Genomic DNA, 27,374 nt, shown 5'->3' with positions numbered 1-27,374 from the left:
ACATGACTCAGCATTTTGGGGTTCAATTAAAACCAGGCTTGTAGGTTGCAGGTCAAGTTGTGTTTCGGTGTGTAACGCATAAAACTTCTTGTTCCACGCTCCGCGGTGTTGGGGATTTTCTACTGCATCTCGACAGCATCTCGGGTAACAACCGAGCCCCTCCTCGCAGCGTAAGTCGTAGGAGCCCTCGGCCATTCTTCCCCCTCCCTCCCGCCGCCGGTCCCAGCATCGGTCCGGGTTCGCTTCTACGCAGGTTCAGCGGCCGCGGACACAAAAGCGCCCCTGCTCGCCTTCGATGCCGCTGCTTGGTCCAGGGGCTTCTGTGGGATTTTAACACGCTAAGGAGGGCACTCATAGTGTTTTACCGAGAAACGCTTTCGAGCTCGGATCTTTGGTGATCACTTCAAGAATGTATTAGTTTTCTTTGTAGCTTAAAAAAAAATCTCGTTCGCCAAGCCACCTGGCACCCCAAACACTGCTGCGAGCGCTGGGAGGGAAAGGGCGGGAGCGCGCGGGCTCCGTGTGCTGCGAGGGCGCCTGGGCGGCTGAGATAAGGCGGTGGCAAACGTCGCGCTCCGGGCCGCCCCGCCAGACTCGGTTTCCCCCGCTCACCGGCCTCCCCGCCCCCAGGCAGGGTGGGGCGGGGCGGACGCGCCACGGCGCGCGACCAATCGACAGCGCCGGGGATGATTCAAAAGGTCGAGGAGCCAATGGGAGCCCCGGGCGGCCTCGCCGGTGGGGAGGGGAGGCGAGGGGAGGGGAGAAGCGCCGCGAGGCGGGGCCGGGGAGGCGCGCGCCCGGCTTGCGGGACTGCGGGGCGCGAGAGCGCGGCCGGGTAGCGTCGCGCGCGTGGATCTGCCGCCGGGTTGCTGTGCGACTATTCTCCGGGAGCCGTCCGTGTCACCGCCGGAACCTGGCGCAGGTGAGTGCTTCCACCCCCGCCCTGCTCCCAGCTCCCCGCGGCGCGTTCTTCGAGGGGCCGCTGGGGGAGGAAGCCCGAGGCCGGCGCAGCGGCCGGGCCGGGGACCCTGGGCGCGGGGCCTGGCGCGGCGGCCTTCCCCTCCTCTCCTCGCCTCCTCGTCTCCTCCCCTCCTCGCCTTTTCTGGCCCAGTCGGGTGGTCGGGGCGGCGGCGGGCGAGGCTGGAGCTCGCCCGAGCCGGGCCCGCTGCGGAAATGGAGCTGGGGGTTTTAAACTGCGGACGTTTCCCTCCATGTTGGCGGCGCGGCGCGGCTGTGGAGCGGCGGCGGCAGGGAGGGTTCGTGGGCGCCTTTGTCCTGCCCCACCGCAGCCTGGCTCCCGGCCCCTCCGAGCGCCCGTCTGACAGATGAGCAGGCGGCCCCGCGGTCCTGCAGTAGGAGGCTGACAGGGCGCGGCGGCCTGGCGGGACGGGGAAGGGTCTGCGGCCGAGGTGGGCTTAGATTCGCGCTGCTTGTCACTGGCTTTGAGGGTCGTGGTCGTCGCGGTTTGGTGATTCTCCAGGCACACTGCATGGCTGCTCGCTCCTATGCGTTGAATTCCTTCGCCCGGACAGTCTCAAAAATCGGGTATTTAGGCGGGTGTGCGTGTTCCTGCTAAAGCACGGTCCTGCTTTTTCACCTTTTTGAGGGTTCAGAAAAATGTTCTAATGACAGCCAGCCTCGCACTGCCAGTAGCCTCAAGGGGCACTTAGTAAAGCACTTGCTTTCGGAGGGCTTTGTTGAAGGCGCTTTCCCAGAGTGATTACGGGGCCCGGTCGGGTGTTCACACGAGGGCGCGGTAGATACCGTGGTCCGCGCGTGGACACCTGCAGCGCGAGGCGCGGCGCCTGGGCAGTGCCAGGGTGAACAGGCCCCCGGGGACCTTGCACGTAAACACGTGTAGATCTGTAGTTACGCATTGTAGTAACTGGTGTGTGGGAGAAGATGGAGCTACGGAGAAGAGCAGAGGGATCCTAATTTAGATTAGGCAACAAGTCCAGTTTAAGTTTTGTTTCTCAGGCTGCCTGGGAAGAGGGAGAAGAACGAGCAGGAGGGGAATGATGAGCTGCCCAAGGATGTTTATGGGGAAGAAGGCGCTTCTGCCTTTACAGCCAGGAAGGTGGCCTTTCTGTTGCTTCATGAAGCAAAGGGCGCGGAGCAAGGCCCGGGGTTCCTGTTTGCATTTTGCCTAGTGGGGCTACCGGGGCTCAGGTGTGAAAAGGAAGCTGTCCAACGTCATTCGAGCGTCTTGCTCTATGCCACGTTTAGATGAATTTGGAGAAGTGAAGGAAAGATGGCTGGAGACCCCTGTAATGTTAATGAGCAGAGAATTGTTGTGTTCACAAACAGTAACATACCGGAGCTGGAATGTGTGAGGATTGCAGTGCCAGTTGACTCTGAAGTTAGCGGGCATCTGGCTTAATAGAGAAAAACCTGAGGGTCTCCGTGTTTTTCCTGTTTATGGCGAATGAGGACATTGGGTGCAGTGAACAAAATTTTTCTTTACAAACACACTTGCCTAAAACATCTCTTGTAAGAAAATCCTGTGTGTATCTTGACTCCTGTAGGTGAGTGCATAGTGAGTGACACGAACAAATGTGGGGCTTTTGTGTGCCATCCTGGCTATTTCACTCCTGTGGGGGAATATATTAGGATGTGATTGCACTGTATCCTCACGTTTGACAATTGTGTGTGGATCTTGTGTAAAGTGGGGGTGCACATCATGTTGTTGGCTTCATCTTTTGGAACATTTGTGTATAAGATAATGGTCTTCTAAGAAGAATGCCGGTTCATTTTGTTTGTTTTTCAAGCAAATCTTAATTCTTCTTTTAAAAAGTAAGCTTTAGAGACCTAACAGGTATCCACCATATGTGTTAACTTGTTTAACCCAGAATAATTGATAAGAATCTTTTTGGCACTGGCCTGCGTTTATATTACACAGATACTGTGTATGTGGTGTGTAAGTGCAATGGAAAGATGCCAGTAAATAAGTTTTTAAGAACACGCAGAAACTGTTCAAGGGTCTTTTAAAACCTCAAGTAGCCCCTGCGTCCTGAAGGGCTTGTGTTTCAAAAGTTTATAAAGAGTTTTTTGCAACTTGAGCATCTTCCTGTAGGAAGACATAATTGCCTTCTTTTAACTCTGGCTGACCAGTGTAGGAGAGCTAGTACTAGTAAGAGTGGTTTGATTTTGGGGGGCCTAGGGAGGAGGAGGGGGCTCAAGAGAAGAGAGAAGGAGGGTACATTTCCTTCCTCTTTCTTTGTACTTGGAGGCTCTGAGCTAAATGTTGAAATAGGCAAAGCTGGATGTTGTCACCTTCCGTTTTTATGCCCCTGCTCATGCAGAGGTGTTCACTGCCCCCCTGCTCCCTAAGTGCCCCTCGGGTGACTCAGCCAGGCCTGACTTCATCCCGAAAACTTGTGGGCTCCTCCCCACTACTCCAAGCCCAAACCCATTCATTACCCCAGTGATGCCCAATCTCAGGTAGGTGTAGGGAAGAAAGCTGCCTCTCTTACCTAATGTGTTAATTGACTGACATCCTCTAATCACCAGATAAGTACTTGTGTTTTCTTTCATCTACCAACCTAGCTGCCATCTCTGTAAACTAGTAGAGCTTGTTAAGTTTTTTCACAGACGATTAACAGTGAAAAAATGTGGTGGTTAAGAAAGGCCTCCCTCACCCCGCCTCCCCCCCCACTCTCCCACTACTCCCTTGGGGTAGGTAATTCAACTTTCTCCTTAATTCCAGAGTCTTCAAAGGTTCCTAAATGTTGCTTTTATTGTATCATCAGCTCTTAACAGGAGCCAGTGAGGAATGTACATTGATAGGCTTGGACAATACATCAAGAAGTGCTTAGTTGGTGAAATGAAGGTGATTTGGGAGACAGCTCATATCTGTCCTACTGGCTGCCCCTTGGACGTGGCCCCAGCTAGTTCATGTGGTACTGGGGAAGGTCGGCAGCCCTGGTTTTGTTGTGTGGAAATGTGATTCCGCTGGTCAGCCGATGGAGCGGCATTACTGTCTGGCAGCTGGAAGTACCCAGCTATCAATTGATATTTCAAAAAGGGTGGCAGACAGGCCTCACGTAAGTGGCAGTTCTTGCAGATTGCTTGTGGATTCCTAGAGTATTGTGGGGCTTGTGGGCCATGTTTTGAATCAGAGGAAAAGAATGTTATAATTGGGGGTTGATGGCTGCTGTAGGCTTGAGAGAAGTGAGCTTGGATGAAGGCAACCACCCTGGCTTAGGTGGGTGGTTGGCAGAGTTACTTGGTATGCATTTGTACTTTAGCTGTAAGAGTTGAAAGCTAAATAACCCCCAAATTTATTCATTACAGACTTGGAATTATTTTTCTTCCTATTGTTGGGTTATAGTCATGTTAATTGTACATCCTTGATTTTCCCAGTCTGGTTTATAGTTTGCTGTTTTTAATAAAGGCAATTTGTTAAAAATACAATTAAATGCATTTTTAAAGCCATTGTAAATTGATACGCAAATTTACAAATGAGAAAATGTGTTCTTTGTGAGATTGTGCCTCATTTTTTGATTAGCGAGAACTGTGATCACGGTAGGTGGGTAACATTTTACATAGTGTGAACTTATGGCGCCTATATACATTGTTATAATTAATCTTTAGTGTCACATAGATAACGCAGTGGCTAAATCATCCTCTCAAATGATTCCAAATGAGATTGAATGTAGCCTTTCTGGCCCTAAAATCCTGACCAGTCAATTCTGGAAAGTTGTATTTTAGTGATCAGCCTGTGGAAAAAGACGAATACATAAATGTGTATGTATTGACTCAAATTTTTTTCTTTAAAACTATTCAGGTTAATTATAGAAAATGCCAAGTAGGAAATTTGCCGATGGTGAAGTGGTAAGAGGTCGATGGCCTGGGAGTTCACTTTATTATGAAGTAGAAATTCTGAGCCACGACAGCACCTCCCAGCTTTACACTGTGAAGTATAAAGATGGAACAGAGCTTGAATTGAAAGAGAATGATATTAAGGTAAGAGCTCCTTTGGTTTATCAGAGTGTGTTTACAGTAAGTGGGAAATAACTCTAAGTATGGTTTCTAAGCTCAGGATAGTCAGTTCAGCTCGGTTTGAAGGCAGAGGATTGAGCTCTTGCTTTGGGTCACATACTGTTTTTGGCTCTGGGAATGTATGAATGAGGCATAGTCCTTGTTCCCAAGAAGCTCACACTTACTGGGAAAGACAGCCATTTGCATCTGTTGGTCCCCTGGGTTTACTACGTTCTGTGTCTGGAGTTTGCTGTGGGTGGTGTTGAGTGTATCAAGGGTAGAGAAGAGCCCTGGGCTTCAGGGGAGGCTTTCAGAGGCAGTGACACCTAGCCAAGTGCTGAGAACAAACAGGAAAAACAGCAGTTGATGGGGCTGTTTCTGCAGAGAGGGCAGTATGCCAAAGTCAGGGGTCTGGGGGACACAGTCAGCCAAGTGCTGGAAGGGGGTGGTAGGGGAGGGCTAAGCAGGAGCCAGGCTGGGGGGGCTTTTATATTCCATGCCCAAGGGTTTGGGCTTCATCCTGAACACCAAGGATTTAATCAGGAGAGTGACATTAATTAGATTCGAGTCTAGCCCAGGGCTTTTCAACCTGTCTGGTGAGGGCCTGGGTTTTAAGATATCTGATCCGTAGTATACAAACATTTATATAAAATGCCATAAAAATGAGTTACTAGAAAAATAAAGACATACACAATAGACGACTCACAGTTTTACTATCAGATTCGATAGATATGAGATTACTTTGTCAAAATGCTATAAACATTTCCATACACCTATTTCTCAATTTTGGTACTTGCACAGATTAGTAACGAGCATTTCTAGGACCCATGGCTGAGGATGACACTTCGAGTGCTCTAGACCAGGAATAAAGCACAGAAAGTAAATATTTTAGACTTTATGGGAGCGGCTCCAGGCAGTATGGAAGGGAGCAGACATGGCAGTGTTCCAGTACAACTTTATGGACAGTGAAATTTGAATTTTGGATAATTTTCACACTTCAGGAAATACTGTTCTTTTGATTTTGTTTGTAATCATTTAAGAATGTAAAAGCCATTCTTAGTAGGAAGGCCACACAAAAATTGGGGTGAGGGACTTGGCCTGGGGCGTAATTTGTCTACATCCCTAGAAGCAACATAAGGAGATTCGGAGTAGGTGGGGACACAGTGAAACAGTTCCCAGTCATCCAAGCTCATGTTTTATTTTCAAGATCTGCTTATGTGTTTTGTTCAGAGTGAAACTGTGGTACTGTTTTTTTTTTTTTGGTCTGTGTGCTTATTTATTTTGTCCTGTCGTCTCAGTTTTAATCCATGTTAATTATTACCCTTCTTGCATATGGTGTTGGAAATAAGTACAGCTAATTGGTTTAGATACATTCGTTTCATGGAAATACCTTCAAAGAACAGGAATGGAAAGGCTGCATTTGTCTCATGAAAGATGGATCATTATGAAAGCATTTTCCATTGGCTTCATCTGATCCATTCTCAGATCCTAACATTTCCCGTGCTGATTTTAGAGTTAATGGTAGCAGTTCCTGCCTTTGTTATCCTCTTCTAGTGTGGGTCTGTCTGTATGTGTTATGATTTGTGGTAAAGCTCTTTGCCTTCTTCCCCCTTTCTAGCCTTTAACTTCCTTTAGGCAAAGGAAAGGTGGCTCAACTTCCAGTTCCCCTTCCAGACGCCGAGGGAGTCGATCAAGGTCACGCTCCCGATCCCCTGGTCGACCACCTAAAAGTGCCCGCCGATCTGCTTCTGCTTCCCACCAGGCCGACATTAAGGAAGCAAGGAGGGAAGTGGAAGTTAAATTGACTCCGCTGATTCTGGTACTTGTGTTTATCCTTATACAGCCTTTTGTCTTCCGCTTTATGTATATATTTACTCAAGTTACTTGCAGTTAATAATATTAAAATGTCACTGAAACATCAAATCTAAGTTGATGACTTTGGGAGTTTTCATATAAAACAAATGTTTGGAATAGAAAGTTTTAAATATCAATGGAAAAGAATGTCCTTCAGTTACCAGAAATGCTATTTAATATTTTAGTTTTTAAAAAAGCAGCGTTCAAATTTGAAATAGATGTAGCTTGTAGATTGAACTGCGTAAGGTTTTTACAGTGTATAAAAGTTCATATCATGTATGAAATGGTAAGACAAACCTGTATTACGGAAACATTCTTACTCTTAGCATCATTATACTTTATCACTTTACCTATTCAAAGATGATTTTAGTGGAATTACTTTCAAGATGTAAGCTTTGAAATATCAGGGTGCATGGAGCCTGTAGATCTTGTACAAATAGTATTTTAGATAGTAGACCAAAGACAAAGTATGTTAAGTAAAAAGAATAAAAGTAATCTTCTATTCACTTAATGTTAACCTCTTTTCTGGATAGAAGGCACACAGACTTTGAGACAGAGTCTTGCTCTGTCACCCAGGCTGGAGCGCAGTGGCGCAATCTCAGCTCACTGCAAGCTCCGCCTCCTGGGTTCACGCCATTCTCCTGCCTCAGCCTACCGAGTAGCTGGGACTACAGGCGCCCACCACCATGCCTGGCTGATTTTTTGTATTTTTAGTAGAGACAGGGTTTCACCGTGTTAGCCAGGATGGTCTCGATTTCCTGACCTCGTGATCCACCCGCCTCGGCCTCCCAAAGTGCTGGGATTACAGGCGTGAGCCACTGCGCCCGGCAACAGACTTTTAATAAACTTTAAAAACTGGATTATATACATACTGCTCAGTAGTCAGCTTTAAGACATTTTAAAATATTGGGATAACCTTTCAGAGTGTATTTTTCTACATCATTTTTGTTGTTGTATTCTATAGTATGGATATATGGTAAATTGTATACATGTAACTTAATCGTTAAAGTCAGCTCTGTCAATGATAGACATTTAGTGTTTTTCCTTCCATATTTTCACTATTACAAACAAGTATTTTTATGTAACATCTGATTATTTCCTTAGGATGGATTCTTACAAGTGGAACTGCTAGGTCAGCTGTATGGTGCAGATTTGAGGCTTTTAATACATATTGCCAGATTGCATCAAGAAAGTTTATAGTAGTATCAGTGTATGAATGCTCAGTTTCTCATTCTGAGTATTATAATTTTTTTTTTTTTTTTTGGAGAATGTGGCTGTCAGACATTTTCAACTTACTGTTCTAACTTATATTTTGAATTAGAACATTTTAACTATTAGTGGCTCTCTTTACCACCCCGGGACTCCAGGAACAGATGCTGTGTGATACTTTGTTATCCTTTCATTTTTAATATTTAGTGACTGCTATATTTTTACAGTGTAATCTTACAGTCCTGGTGTCACAAGAACCACAGAAGCTTTGCCTCTTACCTGGTAGTGCCTTGGGCCTACTGTGTGTTGCATAAGTACCCACTATTTCTTAGTTTTCCATTATGGGCTATTTTGGAGCAGTGAATGTCTTTTTGAATGTCTTTTGTTTTTTATCCAGTTAATGAACTAATTTACCAATTTTTACTTTCTCTGCCTTTCATAGTAAATACCCCTAAAATCTATCAATGAAATTATGACATTCAGTCTGATTACGTGAAAGATCAAAGTTGTTTTTTTTTTTTTTGAGGCGGAGTTTCATTCTTGTTGCCCAGGCTGGAGTGCAATGGCGCGGTCTTGGCTCAATGCAACCTCCGTCTCCGGGTTCAAGAGATTTTCCTGCCTCAGCTTCCGAAGTAGCTGGAATTACAGGTGCCCGCTACCGTGCGTGGCTAATTTTTTTGTATTTTTAGTAGAGACAGGGTTTCACCATGTTGGCCAGGCTGGTCTTGAACTCCTGACCTCAGGTGATCCACCCGCCTTGGCCTCCCAAAGTGCTGGGATTACAGGTGTGAGCCACCGTGCCTGGCCAGATGAAAGATTTTATGTAGAAATCTATCCAATATTTCAGAGACTGGGAAATTCTAGTCAGTTTTATTCCTTTTCATTTTTAACAAAATGAGGGTTAAATTCGTCAGAATTAAGGCTGTGAAAAATCTGTTTTATTGCTTGATTCCAAAACAGTAAGTTTTTACCATCATGTTTCTTTTTAATAAGTTACAGTTCTTTTGATTAAATGTTTATATTCTTCAATTTAGAAGCCATTTGGAAATAGCATCAGCAGATATAATGGGGAGCCTGAGCATATTGAGAGAAATGACGCACCTCATAAAAATACACAGGTGGGAAAGTGTTCCCTTTCATCTTGGTTGTTTTTTTTTTTCTTTTTTTTGGTTAAAAGTGACTCTCCCTTGAGAAGCACATTGAAAATTGTAATATTTTATAACCTGTTCTAAAATTCTGTCCTTAAATTAAGACTGAATATAATTTCACAAATTTATTCTTACTAGTGTATAGCTGTATTGAGATGCTGAAATAGTTAATGCAGTAGCATTAATGGTAATTGTTCACTGCAGATATTTAATTTTTAAATTTTTCATTTAGGAAAAATTCAGTTTGTCACAAGAAAGCAGTTACATAGCAACACAGTATAGCCTTCGTCCAAGAAGAGAAGAAGTCAAATTAAAAGAAATAGATTCTAAGGAAGAAAAATACGTTGCAAAAGAACTGGCAGTGAGAACCTTTGAAGTGACCCCCATCCGGGCAAAGGACTTGGAGTTTGGAGGAGTACCTGGTAGGCCTCAGAGCTGGGCCCAGAGAGGGCAGGTGGGGTGAGCTAGGGGTGGTTGCCACAAGGTGAACTGGAAAGGCCTCTCTGAAGACATCTGAGGCAGGCAAGGTAATGAGCCTGGTGGGAACCTGTGGAAGAGCCTTCCAGAGAAGGAACAGTGGGTGCAAAGGCTTGAGGTGGGAGCATTTTGAGGGATTATGGAGTAGAAAGGATGCCATTGTAGCTGTGTTTAAAACTTTTAGCAGTCTGTTCAGAGGTTTTGAGCACAGAAGTACAAAGAAGTGATAAAGGAAGGTTGATCTGGGAGTTTGTATAGCATAGATGGTTACTTATCAGGGACAGAGAGCTCTGCTAATAGTCAGACCTGAGGCGGCAGGGGCCAGCAGTGGGCCTCAGCTGCCTGCATAAAATGGGATCCCGGAGGCTGCCCTACCTGCTAGGCGGGTTGATTGTGAGGGTCAAAGATCTGAAGTGTGCAGAGTTTTGGAGTTACTAAGTGGGTGGAACTGATGAAATTTTATGAGCTAGTAAAAGAAAAGACTTCTTGTCTAAATGGCTCAAAATCCTGCATGGCTTAATTGCTTTGTATTTTGTTATAACCTTTGGCTAGCTGGCCTGTTACAGATGCTGTCCAGCATCACTTAAAATCTGCACACATTACATGAACGTGACACTATTTTAATTGTTAGAAACTGAGGAATATAAAGTTTTTTGTTAAGATTAGGCTGATAATTTTTAGATGTTCTGATCTTCAGTTTGCTGGAGTTTCAACACATTCGCTCCTTAGTGGTTGGAGGTCAAATGTTTTAGAGCTTGGTTTCTGAGGTGGGTGTAGCTATTCAATGTTGGACCTCTTTCTTTTTTTTTTTATTTTTATTTATTTATTTTTTTTACTACTTTGATGCCCATGGTTGCCAGGCCACCAGAGGTGACAGGTAGAGATGGGAGTTTTTGATGGTACATTAGAAATTGGTTTCAGACAGTTAGCCAGATAACGAGTTCTGATCTTAACAAATCTAACATGATTCTTAAATAAATAAACCAGATTGAAATTTGAGCCTCGAATGTTCATGAATTGTTTGCAGGTGTGTTTCTCATCATGTTTGGCCTGCCTGTGTTCCTCTTCCTGTTGCTGTTGATGTGTAAACAGAAAGATCCCAGTCTTCTGAATTTCCCTCCTCCTTTGCCAGCTTTGTATGAGTTATGGGAAACCAGAGTATTTGGGGTCTACCTCCTGTGGTTTTTGATTCAAGTCCTGTTCTACCTACTGCCAATTGGAAAGGTACGTTTATGGTAATTCTGTTTTGTTTTAATAAGATGAGGTCTCACTATATTGTCCAGGCGGGTCTCCAATTTCTGGGATCAAGTGATCCTCTTGCCGCAGCCTCCTGAGTCGCTGGGACCACAGGCCTGTGCCATGCTGCCCAGCCTTAGAGTAGTTTAAAGGTTAAAGGCTGTTGTTGGTCATAATTCCCAAAACTTAGTTCATGAAGCCATTTCTCTTGTGCTGTCTGTATAACACTTGCTTATTAGGAGGAACTTAAAAAAAAATCTGATTGAGATTTCTTGTGTAACTTTTCAAACCAAATAGAAAAGAATAGGCTATTTTGCAAAGTAGCCGACTCTCAGTGGAGGTTGCTATGGAAAAAAAATTCACTCTTAGTATGTGTCATTTCAGATGCAGCATTTTAAATGATTAATTGATAGGCTACTGGGCTCGATGGACTTTAGTCTACATCTTTTACTTTAAAAAAGTATGAAAAGTTTCTAATTTTCATCTCTTTCAGAAGCTTGTTGTCAAGAACATTTTACGTTGTTTTCAGATTCCTGCAATATCTTTAAAATTTGTCTCTCCATTGCTAAGTGTAGTTTTTTCTTCTTTCAGTAGAATCCTTTACTTGGATATATTTAAAGAAACATGAGATTCCCTAAGTAATAAATAATTTATTTAAAGATCTTATTCTTAGGGCTTTGCAAGTTTGCCAACTGTCTGTAAACCAAAGGATCGGTTTTACTGGTGAATGCCAGTGATAGGAGGGTAGAGCTGCAGGCTTAATACTGTGGAGTGAGACCATAACTTTAGTGGCTCTAGCAAGGATTTTTGTGATAAAGACCTTCAGTCATTTCTACAGTAAGCCTCTACAGTTAAATTCAGATTCATTTAGGGTAAGGTGATTTCAGAGTATCAAGGAAAGCAGTTTTGGTGTTTAAAGTCATATATGTATATACTCATAGACTAAAGTGACTAAAAGCATATATATTAAAATATATATTAATATTATGCAGTCATCCCTTGATATCCTTGGGGAGTGGTTCCAGGACCTCCTGTACATACCAAAATCTGAGGATGCTGAAGGCCCTGATAAGAAATAGTATAGTATTTGCATATAACCTGTGTGCATCTTCCTTGTATACTTTGTTGCCTTTAGGTTGCTTATAATACCTAATACAACGTAAGTGCCATGTAAATAGTTATCATACTGTATTAGGGAATAAGGACAAGAAAAAGAAGTCTGTACATATTCAGCTCAGATGCAATTTTTTCCGAAATATTTTGGATCTGGTTGGTTGAATCCATGGATGTGGATCCCGTCGATACGGAGGGCTGACTGTATATTTGGATCTATATATTCACAGATTAAAGCCTAACACAGCATTTACTAGACTCCTTTAATAGATAAGGATCATCTGAAATTAGCATGTGGCATTTTACTAATCCTGTGATCTCAAACAGCTTTTACGTTTCTCTTGGGAGAGGAGGAATGCTAGCTAATGAAATCTGTAGCTAATGATAAGATAAAGTAGTTTAGCCCAGAGCAAATGATACTATATTTATATTTTACAGTTTGAAATGAATTGCTACATTTCTGAATAGTTATTTTGTGGGGTAAAACGTGGCTGCATTGAGCAAGTGGACTTTTTACTGAGCCAGTTCTATTGGGTACCATGCCTGTGGGTATCTCTGTGCTGAATGCTGTGAGTGATGCCGAATGAAGAGAGGAGATGGTTCTGATGCATGATGCGTGCTCACAGTCTCTCTCTCTCTCTCTCTTTTTTTTTTTTTTTCTTGAGACAGGGTCTTGCTCTGTTGCCCAGGCTGGAGTGCAGTGGTGCAATCTGCAACCTCCTCCTGGGCTGAAGTCATCTTCCCACTTCAGCCTCCCGAGTAGCTGGGACCACAGGCGCGTGCCACCAGGCTTGGCTAGTTTTTGTATTTTGTATTTTTGTAGAGAGGGGATTTCACCATGTTGCCCAGGCTGGTCTCCAACTCCTGGACTCAAGTGATCCTCCCACCTTGACCTCTCAAAGTGCTGGGATTACAGGCATGAGTCACCACACCTGGTTTCTCACAGTCTCTTATTGCAGATAAAAGAATCACATGAAATGGTTAAATAACTGGATGGGCAATATATATATAATATATAGCAGAGCAAGTAAGCATATGAGTATGCGTCATCAAATAGCACTTGGGTCATAGTAGAGTGGATAAACAGGGTAGAGCCCAATTGAAAAGGACCCCACAAATGGAAGACAATGGAATCATACTGTTACTTTGTAAGAGTATGGTAGCCATTGGTAGATGTTTGAGCTAGGGATCCACTAGATATAAAGGTATTTAAGCACATTTAGTCTTGAGGTGGTGGTACACAGGAGTGTGGCAGGGAGCGTGGCTGTTGCAGTTGCTTGGTCCTACACTAGGAAGTCATTACTGAATTTGTATTTAAGATAAATTCCTGAAGGTGGAATTGCGTCATTAAAGGGCTTGCCACTAGGGTTTTTGAAACATATTACTAAATTTCCATGTTACAAGATATCTTCCTTCTTGGGCGTGTTGAAAATTAAGTGATACTAGAATATATATATGTGTGTGTGTATATATGTATATATGATGGTGATGTGCTTAGTAAATTTGTAAATTTTTTTTCTTTTAAGGTTGTAGAAGGAACGCCTCTTATTGATGGAAGAAGACTCAAGTATAGATTAAATGGTGATTTTCTTTTTTTAAGACTCAAATTGATGATTTGATAGCTTAAACTTCTAAGTGTTAAACTCTTTGTTAAAGCTGATTAGACCAGAGTAGTAAGTGATAAATTATTTCTTAGTAGTTGGAAGAGCAACTGTTTATACCTGTAGCCAACTTGTATAAATTATGCCATTAAAGTAACATAGCCTCTTAGTCACTCTTGTCCACTCTCCAGTTTTATTTTCTTAATAGTGCTCATCACTGTTAGAAATCATTGCACTTGTCTAGGATTTTATCACCTGAGGTGTTACACGGATGTGGGCATCCAGGCCACTCCTGCTGCGTGAGCTGCTCTTGTCCTTGCTCATGTCCTCTGGGTTGTCCCTTGAATATTCGTCACACACACTTCCTGGGCCTTTGCCTGGAGAACTTACCCCCAAACGTCTGACACCTGCATCTTCACCTCCATCTGTCTTCTGCTGAGAGAAGCCTTCAGGTCCCTTTCTCTCCCCTGCTCTGTTTTGTTTTTCTGTCTGACATTTGTGCCTCCACACATCAGTGTATTTGTCTCTTCATTAGGGTCTCTCCACTAGAATGTGGCTTCATGGGCTAGGACTTGGCTATGTTCATTGTGACACTCTTGGTGCTAGGAAGATGGGCATGTAGTGGGTGCTCATTCATATGTGAGTGCTGGATGGATGAGTTGTGAGCTTGCTGGGCAGCTCAATAAATGGATAGACCTTGCTCCCTGTGGGTCCGGCATCTCGCACTGTAAGAGCATGTGCTGAGTGCTTCAGTCCAGCTTTGTCATTTGAAGACTTTGGCAAAGTACAGATCTATTTTGTAGTCATCCTTGAATGATTTTCCATTTGACAAGACGGAGTAGAGTGTTTTCCTTTTCTTGAGAATTACATTATGTATTGTAATGGTTGAACTTTTTATCCTTTCAATTCTTCATTTTTTAACTTTGGATACTTTGTTTAGAGACTTACGCAGCATCTACTCTGTCTGCAGTCACTCCACTGGGTTCTAAAGGGGAAGCCAAAGATAGTTTAGACACCTTCTGCCTTTTAGTGCCAGTCATGTGATAAAACGTCTCCCCCAGCTCCAGAGTCTGACCCCTGGTGGGTGCTTAATACTTATCATTGGTATTGTTAGACTTTTTGTTGCTTTTACCAAATTCTTTGCTGATGGAGCAAGTTTTAGAACCTTTGGCACCCTCCCTCCCTCTGGTGGTTCACTTACCACACCAGGGAAGGTGAGTCTGGGGTGAGGTGGGTTGTTGACTTTGCCGCCAGGTCCTTTGATTTCAGTGTTTTGTGTGTTTCTCTGTAGGTACCAATTCTTTTCTAAGTAGTCTTGTGTTATATTTTCACTTCCCTCTGAGGGGTGTGGTACATTCAGAGACTGAGCACAGCACTTGGACATGGAGCTCTTGGAGCCAGTGGGGGAGTGGCTGGCCAAGTTGCTTGATCCTTTTTAAAAATTTCCTCATCTAATTACTCTGGTTCAAGTATTGAGATTTCTTTTCGAGATTTTACGATTATTAACTAAGGAGGTTCCTAAGACATTTTGGATGATTATTTTTAATCCACATAGGCTAGAGAGCAAAAGACTGCTTTATCTAACCATTCTTTTTTAAAATTACATTTTATGAAAGGTAAATGAATATTTTCAAAAGTCAGAATTTAGAAGTTATTGTTTGGAGTATTTGTGGAAAATGTGGATTCAGATAATTTGAGACAACTATTTTACTTTACAAAAGGTTTGGTTTTAGAATTCTCATATAAATAACAGCTACCTCTTTTTTGCTTTTGACCGTTTATCCAAATGGATTTGATGACTTTTTAGGATCACAGCTCTTTGAGGCACTCAGCTCCTTTGAAAGCAAAACTATTTCTTTAGCCAAAAGAAAAAAATTGGATCTTCCAGTGAGCCTTTCTGTGTGGCTGCAGGACTAGCCCGGAACGAGAGTTCTGTGGAGCGTCACAGGGCGGGTGCTTTTTAACTTGGCATTGCACGTGAATGTCCCCGCCTGCTGTCCCTACCCCCCAGGTACTCGCAGTCCCCTGCCTAGCCTCGGGCATTTGTGTTGTGGCATCTTTTCTGCGGGTGGCATGTTAAGATCTCTGTTCTGGATGATAGAGTTTTACTAGAATCTTTTGAAACCATTATTGGCAACTTGGTTAAGTATAAATATTTATAATTTTGTAACTACCAACCTGGCTCGGTGCCTGACCCCTGGTAGGTGCATAATACCCTCCCCTTAGGTAATGGCATTAGACTTTAAAATATGTGTTTGGCCCAGCTCTGTTAATAATTAGCCATTTGACTTTGTGCCTGAGAGTTTGGATTGTGGGAATTTTCAGGTTGCACTTCTTGTCTGTTTTCCCTTAATTAAAAGCAAATAATGACCATTTGAACTGAAAAAGAATCAATATGTTAAACTATTTGGAAAGTTCTACAAGAGATAATGGTATGTATATTGAAAATTATACCTCAGACATTGCTTATTTGCATATTTGTGTGTATTTAGTCTGAATAATGAAATTAAGACTTTAAAAATGAACATTGCATTGTTTCATAGTGGCGTAAGTTTCATGTGAGCCTTGGGTTAATATTAATTTTCCACTTCCTTTTTTTTTTTTTTTTAAAGGATTCTATGCTTTTATCCTGACATCTGCAGTCATCGGAACATCTCTCTTCCAGGGCGTAGAGTTTCATTACGTGTACAGTCATTTTCTTCAGTTTGCACTTGCGGCCACTGTTTTTTGTGTGGTCTTGAGTGTGTATCTCTACATGCGCTCTTTGAAAGCGCCCCGGAATGACCTGTCGCCTGCCAGCTCTGGTGAGCAGTGATGAATTGCATGTTGGATGAATGCGTCCCAGAGCCCTCCAGCAGCCATTTCCAGATTTGAATAGATTGCTTTTTTTCTAACTTCATTTTTGGGAAATGAAGAGAAGTAAGAAAAAATGAAAAGATGAAGAAAAACGTTAAAGAGATATGAATTTAAAGGAAGAAAATATTTTTGTTTTACCTTCATACTTTCTTACTCATTTCTTTTTTTTGCAGTTGCTTGATGACAGTAAGACGTTTAGTAAACTTACAGGCATTTTGACTTATGACAAATATTATTTCTTTGTCCAAAATAGTAAACACTCTTTAAAAAACAAAAAACAACAGAGGTTACTGGCCGGGTGAGGTGGCTCATGCCTGTAATCCCAGCACTTCGGGAGGCCAAGGCGGGTGGATCACCTGAGGTCAGGAGTTTGAGACCAGCCTGGCCAATATGGTGAAACCCCATCTCTACTAAAAATACAAAAATCAGCTGGGCGTGGTGGTGCACACCTATAATCCCATCTACTCGGGAGGCTGAGGCAAGAGAATCGCTTGAGCGTGGGAGGCGGAGGTTGCAGTGAGCCGAGACTGTGCCACTGCACTGTAGCCTGGGCCACAGAGCGAGGCTCCATCTCAAAACAAAACAAACAAAAAACAAGAGAAACGAGAGGTTACAAATTGGTTGATGCTGACCTGAAGTATTTCAATATAAAAAAATGTCGCCTATCTAAAAAAAATGGAGTGTAAAGTCCTTTGGGGGGGCCCCCATGATTTTGGTTAACTTTTTTAAGAAACCTGGGCCCCCGGCTCCCCCAAAGGCTGGAGCAACTGCCTTTTCAGTCGGGCAGGCATCTCCTGGTTCCGCTCGTCTGTGCCGTCCTGTCTGCCTCTCACCACCAGAGCCCTGCTCAGGGTCTTGCAGGCAGTGGAATTGTGAGCCTGGATAGTGGGCGGCAGTGCCGTTGTAAAGCCTCCTGACTGGGTTTGGAATGCTGTTTGGGTAAACACTTTTCCTTTCTCAGGAAATGCTGTCTATGATTTCTTCATTGGCCGTGAATTAAACCCTCGAATTGGTACTTTTGATCTCAAATACTTTTGTGAATTGCGCCCCGGATTGATTGGATGGGTATGTCTGGTTTTTTTTCTTCTAAATTTCAATTCAATAGGTCTAATTAACTGCTAGAAAGAAATGTAGACCATTCAAAAATAAGCAGTGGGTGGTATATTTTTAGGGATAATTATGGCTTTCCATAAATCTATCAAAATACTTTCTTGTAAGTATTTTCCAGAGGTTTAAGATGCCCTGTTACAGGTTATGACAAATTAAATAACTTTTCTTTGCTTTATTTTTATTATATCAGTTTATATTTATGTAGGAAAGTGATAGTGTGGATGAATTAATGTAAGAAAAAATGCATTTTCCTCCTTTTTAAATTTTACCTAGTTTTAGGCTTGGAGTTGCAGATAGAGAGCAAAGAGTTCCCTTCCACCCTTCATTCTGTTTCTCACAACATTAACCTTGGAGGAAACCGTAGTGTAGTGATGAAGAACAGCAGATTAACATAGTGACAGCATTGGTTACCAAGTCCACAGGCCTCAGTCGAGTTCACCAGTTTTTCCGCTGTTGTCCTTTTTCTGTTCCAGGAACCTCGACAGGACTCCACAATACATTTAGTTGTTATTCCTTCTTAGTCTTCTCTAGTCTAATAGTTGTTTAGGCTTTCCTTGTCTCTCATGACCTTGATACTTTTTGGAAGGTACTGGTTGGTTATTTTGTAAGTGTCCCTCAGTTTGGGTCATTCCAGTGTTCTCTTTGATTGCGGTAAAGTTACCCACTGTGACAGGAACACAGAAATGATAGCTGTGTCCTTCTCAGTGCATTGGGTCCAGGGGCCCATGGTGCTGAGATGTCTTATTCCTGGTGGCGGGTAGGAGTTACGGTGGCGTCTGCCAGGTGTCTCAGCTGTGAAGCTCACTCATGCCTTTGTAGTGCTAAGGTCTCTGGGGAGGTGCTTTGAGGCTATATACTTTCCCCTTTTGTTTCAGGTGGTTATTAACTTGGTGATGCTTTTGGCTGAAATGAAAATACAGGACCGCGCTGTTCCATCCTTGGCCATGATTTTAGTTAATAGTTTCCAGCTTCTCTATGTGGTGGATGCTCTCTGGAATGAGGTAATTAATTTTAAGAGCCGAGGCCTTGGAGTCAGATGGCTTTGAGTGGGTGAGTGACCTGTCAGAGCCTCGGCTTCTTGCACACAAAGTGAGGGGAGCATGGCCTGCCTCCAAGGCTGCTTGAGAGGAGGACGAGGCCATCCATGTGAAGCTGACGAGGGAGCACTGACAGGTGGGAAGTTTCTAGGCATTTGGGAGTGCTTCAGTGTTTATCAGCTGTTCTTGTGTTTAAAAGTAATATTCTAAATATTTAAGATTGGTGGATCTTGGTTTTGTTTTTGTGGGTGGTGGTAATTATGGTATCACATGAAAATGGATGGATTATTACTAAATTAGAATGGTGTTTCTTGGACTGTCAAGAGTCACCTAGTTTTTAAATAATGGGGGAGATGTTTTATTGTTAATGTTTTAAAATACAAAGACTAGCTCTAATTAGATGAATGTAAAATCAGAAATCAAGATGCATTGAGGAAACCAGTTGAAATAAGGCTAAGTTTCCATCTTGTGTCTTTTTTCATACATTGATTAGTCTTTCTACTAGTTGAAGACTGGTAAATGTTTTGTTTGTTTTCTCTGTCTCAGCCAGCATATTCCTTTTAAAAATTTTGTCTTCCTCAGGCTTATTTTACAAGTATTTTATCGTATTTACTGTTATCTTTGTAATTATCTCCAAATTCCAACTCTAGTTTTCTTTCCATATTAAAAACAAATCTGGCAGCTGTACATCATAATGTTCCAAAACAAGTTTTAGTGACAGTCTGTTGAGACAATCTGCTGACATTTTGAGAGAAGACCTTTTCTCTTTGAGCCTGGAACATTAAAAAAAATTATATTATTTGGTCATCAATACTATGTATCTCCCCCACCCCTGCTGGCTGGTCTTTAATTTTGGCCTTCTATGCAAAATTGCAGAGAACATTTAGTCAGAACAACTTCGCAAGTTTGATATTGGTGTTTCGATGATCTCCTTGTTATTTAGGAAGATTAGGGCCACTTTGAGGTAAACCTCAATTACAAGCGGTGGGATTAGTGCTATCCGCTAATTACGGGTTCCTGTTGCGCTCCTACCACTTCACAGACCCTGGCTCAGAGCTTGGGAAGCTGTGAAGGTGGTGATAACACTTCAAATTGACTTTAAAAATTCCACGTCGACCCAAAATTAAACATGTTTTTGAAATTAAAAAACAACTGTTTTGTAAATGCACTTACTGTTACCAGTGTAGCTTTGTTTGCTGTTATAGAATGAATCGCCAAAAGAGCATATAGGTTACAGTTTGCAAATCAAATGATATTTCACAGTTGTGCTCACCTCAGAGGCTTCTTTAAACCTTCCTTTCTAGTAGCTTTCCACTGATCAGTGATTATTTCTTCTGGTTTCTTCTATTACTAGCTTTCTGCCATGTTGTGGTTGTCACTTTTTAATTGGCTTAGAAGTTGATATTTTCTATAGATTTAGCCAAACATTGACTTGTGTTAAAAGAAAATTTTTTGCATCTTAAGGCAAAACGCTTAATGCAATATTAACATAGCCCCAGGGGTAGAGAACTAGAGTTAGGAAATTGTTTTCTGTCTGTTCTCAGTATCTCAGCCAGATGATAATAAGCTTCTTGAGGAAAGATTGTATTTTATGATTTCTTCAGCATTCTGGCATGCCACTGGGCAATTAGCAGATGCTTAATAACTTCTGTCAGGTCACTTGATAGAAATCCCTCTGTATTCAAGAATGTGCTATACCTTAAGAAAACTGAGACTACCTGTTTAAATATGCATGACCCTTCCTCTGAGCCGTCCTGTGAAAGCCTTGGGGCTCAGGAGCTGGTGGGGCTAAGGTCCTCCCCCTACCCGGCATTGGGTGCTTACCCTTTGCCCTCTCACTGCCACTCACCACACCTGCTTTTATCTGCTCCCACCAATTTGTCACCTTTATCCTCTTTTGGACCAGGAATCAGATCACAGGCCTTGAGAGAGAAGAATAAGACACTCTTGGGGACAGAAAGTTAAAACACCGTGTGTCCTCACTTATATGTGGGCGCTAAAAAAGTTGATGTCATAGAAGTATAAAGTAGAACAGAGGATATGGGAAGGTGGGAAGGGTAGGGGGAAGGGAAGGATAGGGAGAGGTTTGTTAAAGGATACAAAATTACCACTCGATAGGAGGAGTAAGTTCTAAGTTCTAGTATTCTATACCACTGTAGGATGACTATAGTTAACAGTGATACATAGTTTCAAATAGCTAGAAGGATATTGAATATTCCTAACACAAAGAAAGAATGTGTTTGAGATGATGGATATGCTAATTACCTTGATTGGATTACTATATATTACATGTATTGCAACATCACTGTGTACCCCATAAATATGTACGATTATTACATGTCAATTTTTTTTTTTAAAGAGAATAAAGTACTCTGGTTAACTAAAGAGTATAAGCCTAAGGAGCTAGATTTTGTGAGATTGGTTTTTCTGTTTCATGTGACATCTGTTTTTCTGTTCCATGGCCTATTTGCTTTCTTTTCTGGAAAAAAATGCTATTTAGAGGTACCACTCTTTTTCTTTAACCTAGAACTTTGATTCTCCAACAGAGCTTATACTGGCTAATATTTCTACATCAGTGGTCTGTACTGAGGTTCTGGGTAGTTTAGAGATTCCCTTAGGCCAGACCTTCAGAGTGTTGACCTTGGTGGTGGTTCCGTATTCTAGAGTCTGGCCTGCCCGTATCCTGGGCCAGAGGCGATCTGGCTCATGCTAACCAAATCACCAGGGAGTAATGCACTTTTATTAATTTACATGAGAAGCGAAGCTGTCAGTTCACCATGTTGCCAGGCAGCTTAATTTCTTCTGTGGAAAATGCACATGAAATGCCAGATTATGAACAGAAATTAGATTGGTCCATGTGGAATTGAAACAAAAAGAGTTGGTGATCTTATTCCTTCAGCAAGCATATTTTGAACACTTCTCTCCATGGCGGGCACTGTGCTAGGTACTGGGGTGGCAAAGGTGAAAACACACAGCCTCTGTCTTTTAGAGGCTTTTAGTGTAGTGAAGAGTGACTAGACAAGTACAGTAACCCAATTACTGCAGCCTACTGGTGGGTGGTGATATCTGAGAAGTGCCCAGGTCTGAGCAGCAGGTCAGGAGGGCAGCAGAGGGTGTAGGGCCTATGTGGAGGTTGGAGGAGGGGTTGTCAGCAGAGGGGAGGGCCTGGGCATGGGGGCATGGGAGATGCTTTAGAGATCTGTTATCTCCAGAGCATGAGCGAGAGGCTGGCGTGACGGGAGAATGTGACAGCAGAAAGACCTAGCAGGCCAGGGGAACCAGATCTCTCTCCCCTTTAACAAAAAAATGTTGATTGTGGACCCGCCCATAGCACTTTTTACATTTGCCTGTAAACTAGTACTTTATTTGAATACTTTAAACACAGAAGCTCCTTCTCCCTTTCCCCGTCTGTATCCTTATAGGAAGCGTTGTTGACGACCATGGACATCATCCACGATGGATTTGGATTCATGCTGGCTTTTGGAGACTTGGTGTGGGTTCCCTTTATTTACAGCTTCCAAGCCTTTTATTTAGTCAGTCATCCAAATGAAGTGTCTTGGCCAATGGCTTCTCTAATTATTGTTCTGAAACGTGAGTATTAATTTTAGTCTCAGTTTAATTTATTAAATATTATGTACTGAGGCTTTTATGCCCTGCTGTCTACATACTTGAAACATGCCATTTTGAATGGCCAGCATTAGCTCAGTTTGAAGCCATTTATCATGAGTAATAAAAAATCTGCATTTTGCAAAGAGAATGGATGGTTCGTACTTGGGTTCTCAGTAGTACTTGAAACAGATTATTTTAAACCATCTTGCTTTTAAATTTAATAAATTTAAGTTGTTTTAATTCGTTTTGGTAACCATACGTCTTTTCTCTTGAGTGCCTGCTTTTTCTGGTAGGCATCTTATAAAGTAAGAAGATTTGTCTTGCCTTCATAGAGCTCACATTCTAACAGGAGAAATAAGACATTCCTGCCTTGCTGTGAGGTGTGTGAGTGAGCACTAAGAGGGGCTTAGATGACGGGTGTTAAAGATAGAGAGAACTTCTCTCTGGGGAGCGTTAGTGTGAACTTATCGGAGGATATGGTGTTCGATTGGAGTTTTAGAGGGGAAAATGGGATGGGGAGATCGAAAAGTCAGGCACTGGGAACAGCTCAGCAAGGGTGTGTGGTGGGGAAGTGTGAGATGAGGTTGGGAAAGACTGAGAAGTCCAGTTTGGCTGCAGCTGCGGTCCACCAGGGTCAGTCATGGATTTTACTTCAGGATGAATTTTCATTGTTCTTACACTGTTCACTAAACACTTATACTAGAGGTTGGGCAGGGAAAATTAGCAGTGAACTGCAAATACAGATAGTTTTGCTACACAAGTTAGTATCTGTGGTAGAAGAAGTTCAAACCATTGGTTAAAATTAAGATTTAGTTTCACCAGTGGTTTGGATGTCCATGTCATCCATTTTATTATTCAAGACAGTGTATTTTATAGTTCAGCTAAAAATGGGGAATGTCTTAGTTTGTTTTGTGCTGCTCGAACAGAATAGCTGAGACTAGGTAATTTGTCATGAAATTTATTTGGCTCATGGTTCTGGAGGCCAGGAAGTCAAAGAGCATGGTGCTGGAATCTGGCAAGACCCCTTCTGCTGCAGCATCCCAGGGTGGAAGGTGGAAGGACAAGAGAGAGTGAGGGAGGGCAAGAGAGAGTGAGGAAGAGCAAGAGGGGCTGAACATACTTTTATAACAAACCCACTCGAGATACTGAGCCCACTCCTGTGATAGCCACATTAATCTGTCCATGAGGGCAGAACCCTCATGACCTAATCATCTCTTAAAGGTGCTACCTCTCCACACTGTTGCATTGAGGATTACGTTTCCAACACGTGAACTTTGGAGAACACATTCAAACCAAAGCAGGAAGTAAAGTTATTCTCTTACTAGTTTATTGAGGATCGACTATATAATAGTTAAATGTCAGTGATAGATTGATTTTTGACATTCTGAAATTTGGATAAAATTAGGAACTTATAGACTTAAAGTGGGATTCAGCATGTATTTAAAGTGCAGGATGTTTTGGTGCTGATTCTAAGCTAGTGTTTGATAATAAAATGTTTGTGCCATGGCCAGTAGGTATAACTAACAGATGATATAGCTTGTAATTTTGATTACACTGAACTCTAGTATTGATTTTATTGTAATGTAGGCTATCTTAGATTTTATCTCTTTCATGGATGTAACTATATTTGTTTTGCCTTCAGAGCGTTTCCTAGGTGGATGATTAAAGTAGTGTGATAGATTTCGGACGGGTTACCATCTTTTTACATAGTGGGATTTAGAGGTTTTGAGTTGTTCTTAAGAATCAGGCCAGGTGCGGTGGCTCATGCCTGTAATCCCAGCACTTTGGGAGGCTGAAGCAGGAGGATCTCTTGAGCCTAGGAGTCTGCTTTGGAAATTTCCTCAGAGCATAGAAATCATTTTTAAGAGAAATTACAGATGCTATTAAGCATTAGAGTATAACTAAGTTATTAACATAGGAAAATATTTTAAAATTGCAGTTTGTGGTTATGTAATCTTCCGAGGTGCAAATTCTCAGAAAAATGCATTCCGGAAAAATCCCAGTGATCCAAAGCTTGCACGTAAGTATTGATTTATGTTTATATTATATATATTACATGAAGGTTTTATTTTTCTTTTTGTCTCGACATCATTAAAAATGTACTTTTATTTTTATATAGATTTAAAAACCATTCATACTTCAACGGGAAAAAATCTTCTAGTTTCTGGATGGTGGGGCTTTGTTCGCCACCCCAATTACTTGGGTGATCTCATCATGGCCTTGGCGTGGTCCCTCCCATGTGGTAAGCATTTCAGAAGAGTGCTAGTTTGACCCTTTTAGCCGCCAGAAAGATGTGTGTGTGTGTCCTTTGTGTGGGACAGTGTGGCCAAGGTGGGTGTGAGTCTTTTTGTCGCCCTTTTCTACTGTGAGGTTGGCCTCTGTAGAAGCTCCTCTGGCTTCTGAGGGGAATTGGGAATTCACAGAGCCTGAAGTTTTACTTTAAGCCTAAAAGCACTATTTTAAGTTTTCAGCTGTGCCTGATAGCTTTTTTCTAAGTAGAATATATAGAAATTAATTCAGCTTCTTAATTCATGATTCAGTGTACATAGATTGGGAAAAACTTTGGTTTTTAAGAAGAGAAAGAGATTCTGTTTTTCTTTTTGTGTGTCTGGCCTCGTGGGGAGCTGGGAAAGCAGGGGAGCAGGGAGAGCTGTGGGAGCTGGAGGTGCTTGGGGAGCTGGGGTGTCAGGGGGAGCTGGAGGTACTGGTGGAGCCAGGGGAGCTGGGGGAACTGGGGGAGCAGGGGGATCTTGGGAAGCTGGGGGAGCTGGGGGAACTGGGGGAGCAGGGGGATCCAGGGGAGCTGGTGGAGGTGGAGGAGCTGGCCCGTGCCTGCTGCCTGTTTGGTGGCCCAGCCTGTGGTGGAAGACAGCAGTTTTTCTTCTTTGCTGGGGGAAGAAGGGCGAGAAATGAAGAGATGTGTATTAACTATGAGGACAGATGTTTTGATTGTGATGGATTGTTAGAATGGATTCATCAGTCTTTGAGTAGCTTCTAATTTAGATACGACCTTCTGCCACTTTCCAGTGGGATTTTACAGACTTGTTTAATTATTCTCATCATTATTAGAGAAAATGAAGTACCTTGTGGTTCCATTTTTAGAGAATTTGGGGGAAAGCAGGAAAAAATACATTGTAGTGATAATAAAAATATCTAATACTGTGTACTATTATTATCCACAGGTTTTAACCACATTCTGCCTTATTTCTACATAATTTATTTCACCATGTTGCTTGTCCACCGAGAAGCTCGTGACGAGTACCACTGTAAGAAGAAATACGGCGTGGCTTGGGAAAAGTACTGTCAGCGTGTGCCCTACCGTATATTTCCATACATCTACTAATGCTCTTCTGGCTTTTCTACAAAATACTCCTGCAATTCCAGCTGCCATTTGCAAAAACAAGGAAAAAAATCCGAAACTTTCTTTTGTTGCACTGACAGGGTCTGTACTTTTTTTTTTCTTTTTGAGTCAGGACTATGGAGCCGAGTAGTTGATCTTTTAATATAGCCGTGTTTACTTGTATTAACTTACAGTTAACATAGGAAAAATACAAGTAAGGATGTGAGAATTTGCATTTTAATGGGAAATTTTCAACCCTTAATCTGAAAACAGAAGACAGTCTTAATATAAATGTACTGTGAAGAATGCTATTGATGTTTATGGTTTCTGATTACTTTTCAAATTTTGATGTTTTTTTGCCAGTTGGCTTTTCTTAAATGAAAACACTGTTCCATTTAAAGTACATTTATGTTTTATTCAGTAAGAGAATAGAATTTTCATTTGTTTTTCTTTAAATCCTTTACTAATTATATAATTTGAAAGCAAAAAGAAGGGCCTATATTAAATGCTGAAAGTGAAAAGTGATGACATTATTAGCAGACACTGCTTAAAGGAGACCATTTGTAGCAGTTGGCTTAACCTCAACTTCTAAAACTACATTGAAAATGTAAATACATAGCTTAGTTTTTTGTAATATATGGTGACTTCAGATTTTTTTGTACAGTATTTTGAATGTGAGATGATTGTCAGGACTAACTGTCTTTTTAACAAAACATTTTCAGTATTTTAAATAAAATTTTGTAAAGTAATGTGAATTAAAAATTTTGGAACAATTAGAATTCATTCACTATTGTATAGAAGATGCTGTTAAAACATAGGAAGGGTATTTTTCTTGATCCAAAGTTTGTGAATTTGGCTTTGCTACCTCAATTGCAGGTGTTTGTTTGCCTTTATAAACTGTTGCAAATAGAAAAAAAATAGAATAAGTATATATTTTTGGAGTAACATCAATATTTAAACATTTTTACACAGATCGGTGTTTGAAAATTTGCCATTTCAGGCTAATATTTTTATATATTTTTGACTTTTTAAAAGTTCATCAGTGTTTTTGCTACTGTTAAGCTTATGCAGTTTATACTGTATTTTTTATGTATCCTTTATATTTACCAAACCTGACTCCCTGTAAAGGAGTGCTGTCTTAAAAACAACTGAAGGGGTTAAAGTCGTTTCTTTTAGTTTAATAGATGTGCATAAGGTAGCTTTAGCAATTAAATTCTAGTGAAGTTGATATAGTCTCATTTTTAATTGTCCTGTAATGGAACAGTAGCAAATTCACTAAACTTTTGTGTTCAGAGTTAAATTGTTCTCAGTACTTTCAATGTAGGGGAATGTAATAAACATAGTGTGTATGTTTGGGTTTTAATTACACATTTTATATATGAGCCATTTAGATATGCAGTGTTAATTCTATACTGCATTTGAAGTGTATGTAACTTAGCTTATGTTAATGCAGTCATGAAGTTGGTTTGCTCCAGCATCCGGTAGTCTTTAAACATTCTTTTAGTGAAATTGTCATTGTTTTATCAGTGCTAATGTGTGCAAGCAGTTTTTTTATTTTGCTTTTCTCCTGGCATCAGAAAGTGGTGGCGTTTTCTGTACTGGATTGCACCAAGGAAGCTTTTGGGGAGGAAGGAAGGACATTAAATTCTTTCCCTGGTAATGAAAAGAGCCCTTTATCAATACAGTGCTGCAATTTCTGGATATCAGCTACACTTTGTTTTTAAGTTTGTTTTTGACATGTTTATTTGGCAAATTTTATAATGAAGTTTTAAGTTGAAAATAAAATGTAGCAACATTTTGATCA

General features: G+C 41.7%; 1 protein-coding gene across 7 annotated transcripts, besides 5 other annotated features; it reads left to right on the top strand.

The window, feature by feature from the left end:
• On the top strand, positions 55–27,374 carry LBR (lamin B receptor). 7 transcript variants are annotated; one of them, NM_194442.3, is made up of 14 exons: positions 55–170; positions 4,787–4,965; positions 6,599–6,799; positions 9,078–9,161; positions 9,424–9,613; positions 10,696–10,892; positions 13,544–13,598; positions 16,231–16,422; positions 17,436–17,539; positions 18,460–18,585; positions 22,044–22,212; positions 24,170–24,250; positions 24,350–24,472; positions 25,413–27,374. In NM_194442.3, the coding sequence occupies exons 2-14, from the start codon at positions 4,801–4,803 to the stop codon at positions 25,571–25,573; spliced, it is 1,848 nt and encodes a 615-aa protein (NP_919424.1). In that variant the 5' UTR covers positions 55–170; positions 4,787–4,800; the 3' UTR covers positions 25,574–27,374. The 7 variants fall into 7 exon arrangements, with proteins under 7 accessions (NP_919424.1, XP_047276332.1, NP_002287.2 ...); NM_002296.4 differs by lacking the exon at positions 55–170 and adding an exon at positions 838–922; XM_011544185.4 differs by lacking the exon at positions 55–170 and adding an exon at positions 984–1,545.
• Positions 422–1,251: a silencer, noted in NCBI's record as "silent region_1856". NCBI's record gives its function as "represses an Ori minimal core promoter by ATAC-STARR-seq in GM12878 lymphoblastoid cells {active_cell/tissue: GM12878}" and the evidence as "EXISTENCE:reporter gene assay evidence [ECO:0000049][PMID:35858748]".
• Positions 422–1,755: a biological region, named in NCBI's record as "H3K27ac hESC enhancer GRCh37_chr1:225614823-225615494".
• Positions 1,084–1,755: an enhancer, noted in NCBI's record as "H3K27ac hESC enhancer chr1:225614823-225615494 (GRCh37/hg19 assembly coordinates)". NCBI's record gives its function as "activates a minimal SCP1, AML or CMV promoter by ChIP-STARR-seq in primed H9 embryonic stem cells {active_cell/tissue: H9 hESC(primed)}" and the evidence as "EXISTENCE:reporter gene assay evidence [ECO:0000049][PMID:30033119]".
• Positions 1,756–2,428: an enhancer, noted in NCBI's record as "H3K27ac hESC enhancer chr1:225614150-225614822 (GRCh37/hg19 assembly coordinates)". NCBI's record gives its function as "activates a minimal SCP1, AML or CMV promoter by ChIP-STARR-seq in primed H9 embryonic stem cells {active_cell/tissue: H9 hESC(primed)}" and the evidence as "EXISTENCE:reporter gene assay evidence [ECO:0000049][PMID:30033119]".
• Positions 14,256–14,425: an enhancer, noted in NCBI's record as "experimental_5491 CRE fragment used in MPRA reporter constructs". NCBI's record gives its function as "activates a minimal promoter by MPRAs in K562 erythroleukemia cells, with activity observed for the non-introgressed 1:225602238 variant allele {active_cell/tissue: K562}" and the evidence as "EXISTENCE:reporter gene assay evidence [ECO:0000049][PMID:34662402]".

This window comes from Homo sapiens, chromosome 1 (assembly GCF_000001405.40).
Source record: "Homo sapiens chromosome 1, GRCh38.p14 Primary Assembly".
NCBI classification, from domain to species: domain Eukaryota; kingdom Metazoa; phylum Chordata; class Mammalia; order Primates; family Hominidae; genus Homo; species Homo sapiens.
Note: the sequence above shows the minus strand (reverse complement) of the source record. Positions and strands in the feature narration are given on the sequence as shown.

Excerpts from the sequence above, each read along its gene's own strand:
- LBR (NM_194442.3), top strand. The coding sequence starts at position 4,801 with ATGCCAAGTAGGAAATTTGCCGATGGTGAAGTGGTAAGAGGTCGATGG. Across the intron at positions 24,251-24,349 it reads CAGTGATCCAAAGCTTGCAC|ATTTAAAAACCATTCATACT; the intron begins GTAAGTATTGAT and ends ATTTTTATATAG. Across the intron at positions 24,473-25,412 it reads GGCGTGGTCCCTCCCATGTG|GTTTTAACCACATTCTGCCT; the intron begins GTAAGCATTTCA and ends TATTATCCACAG.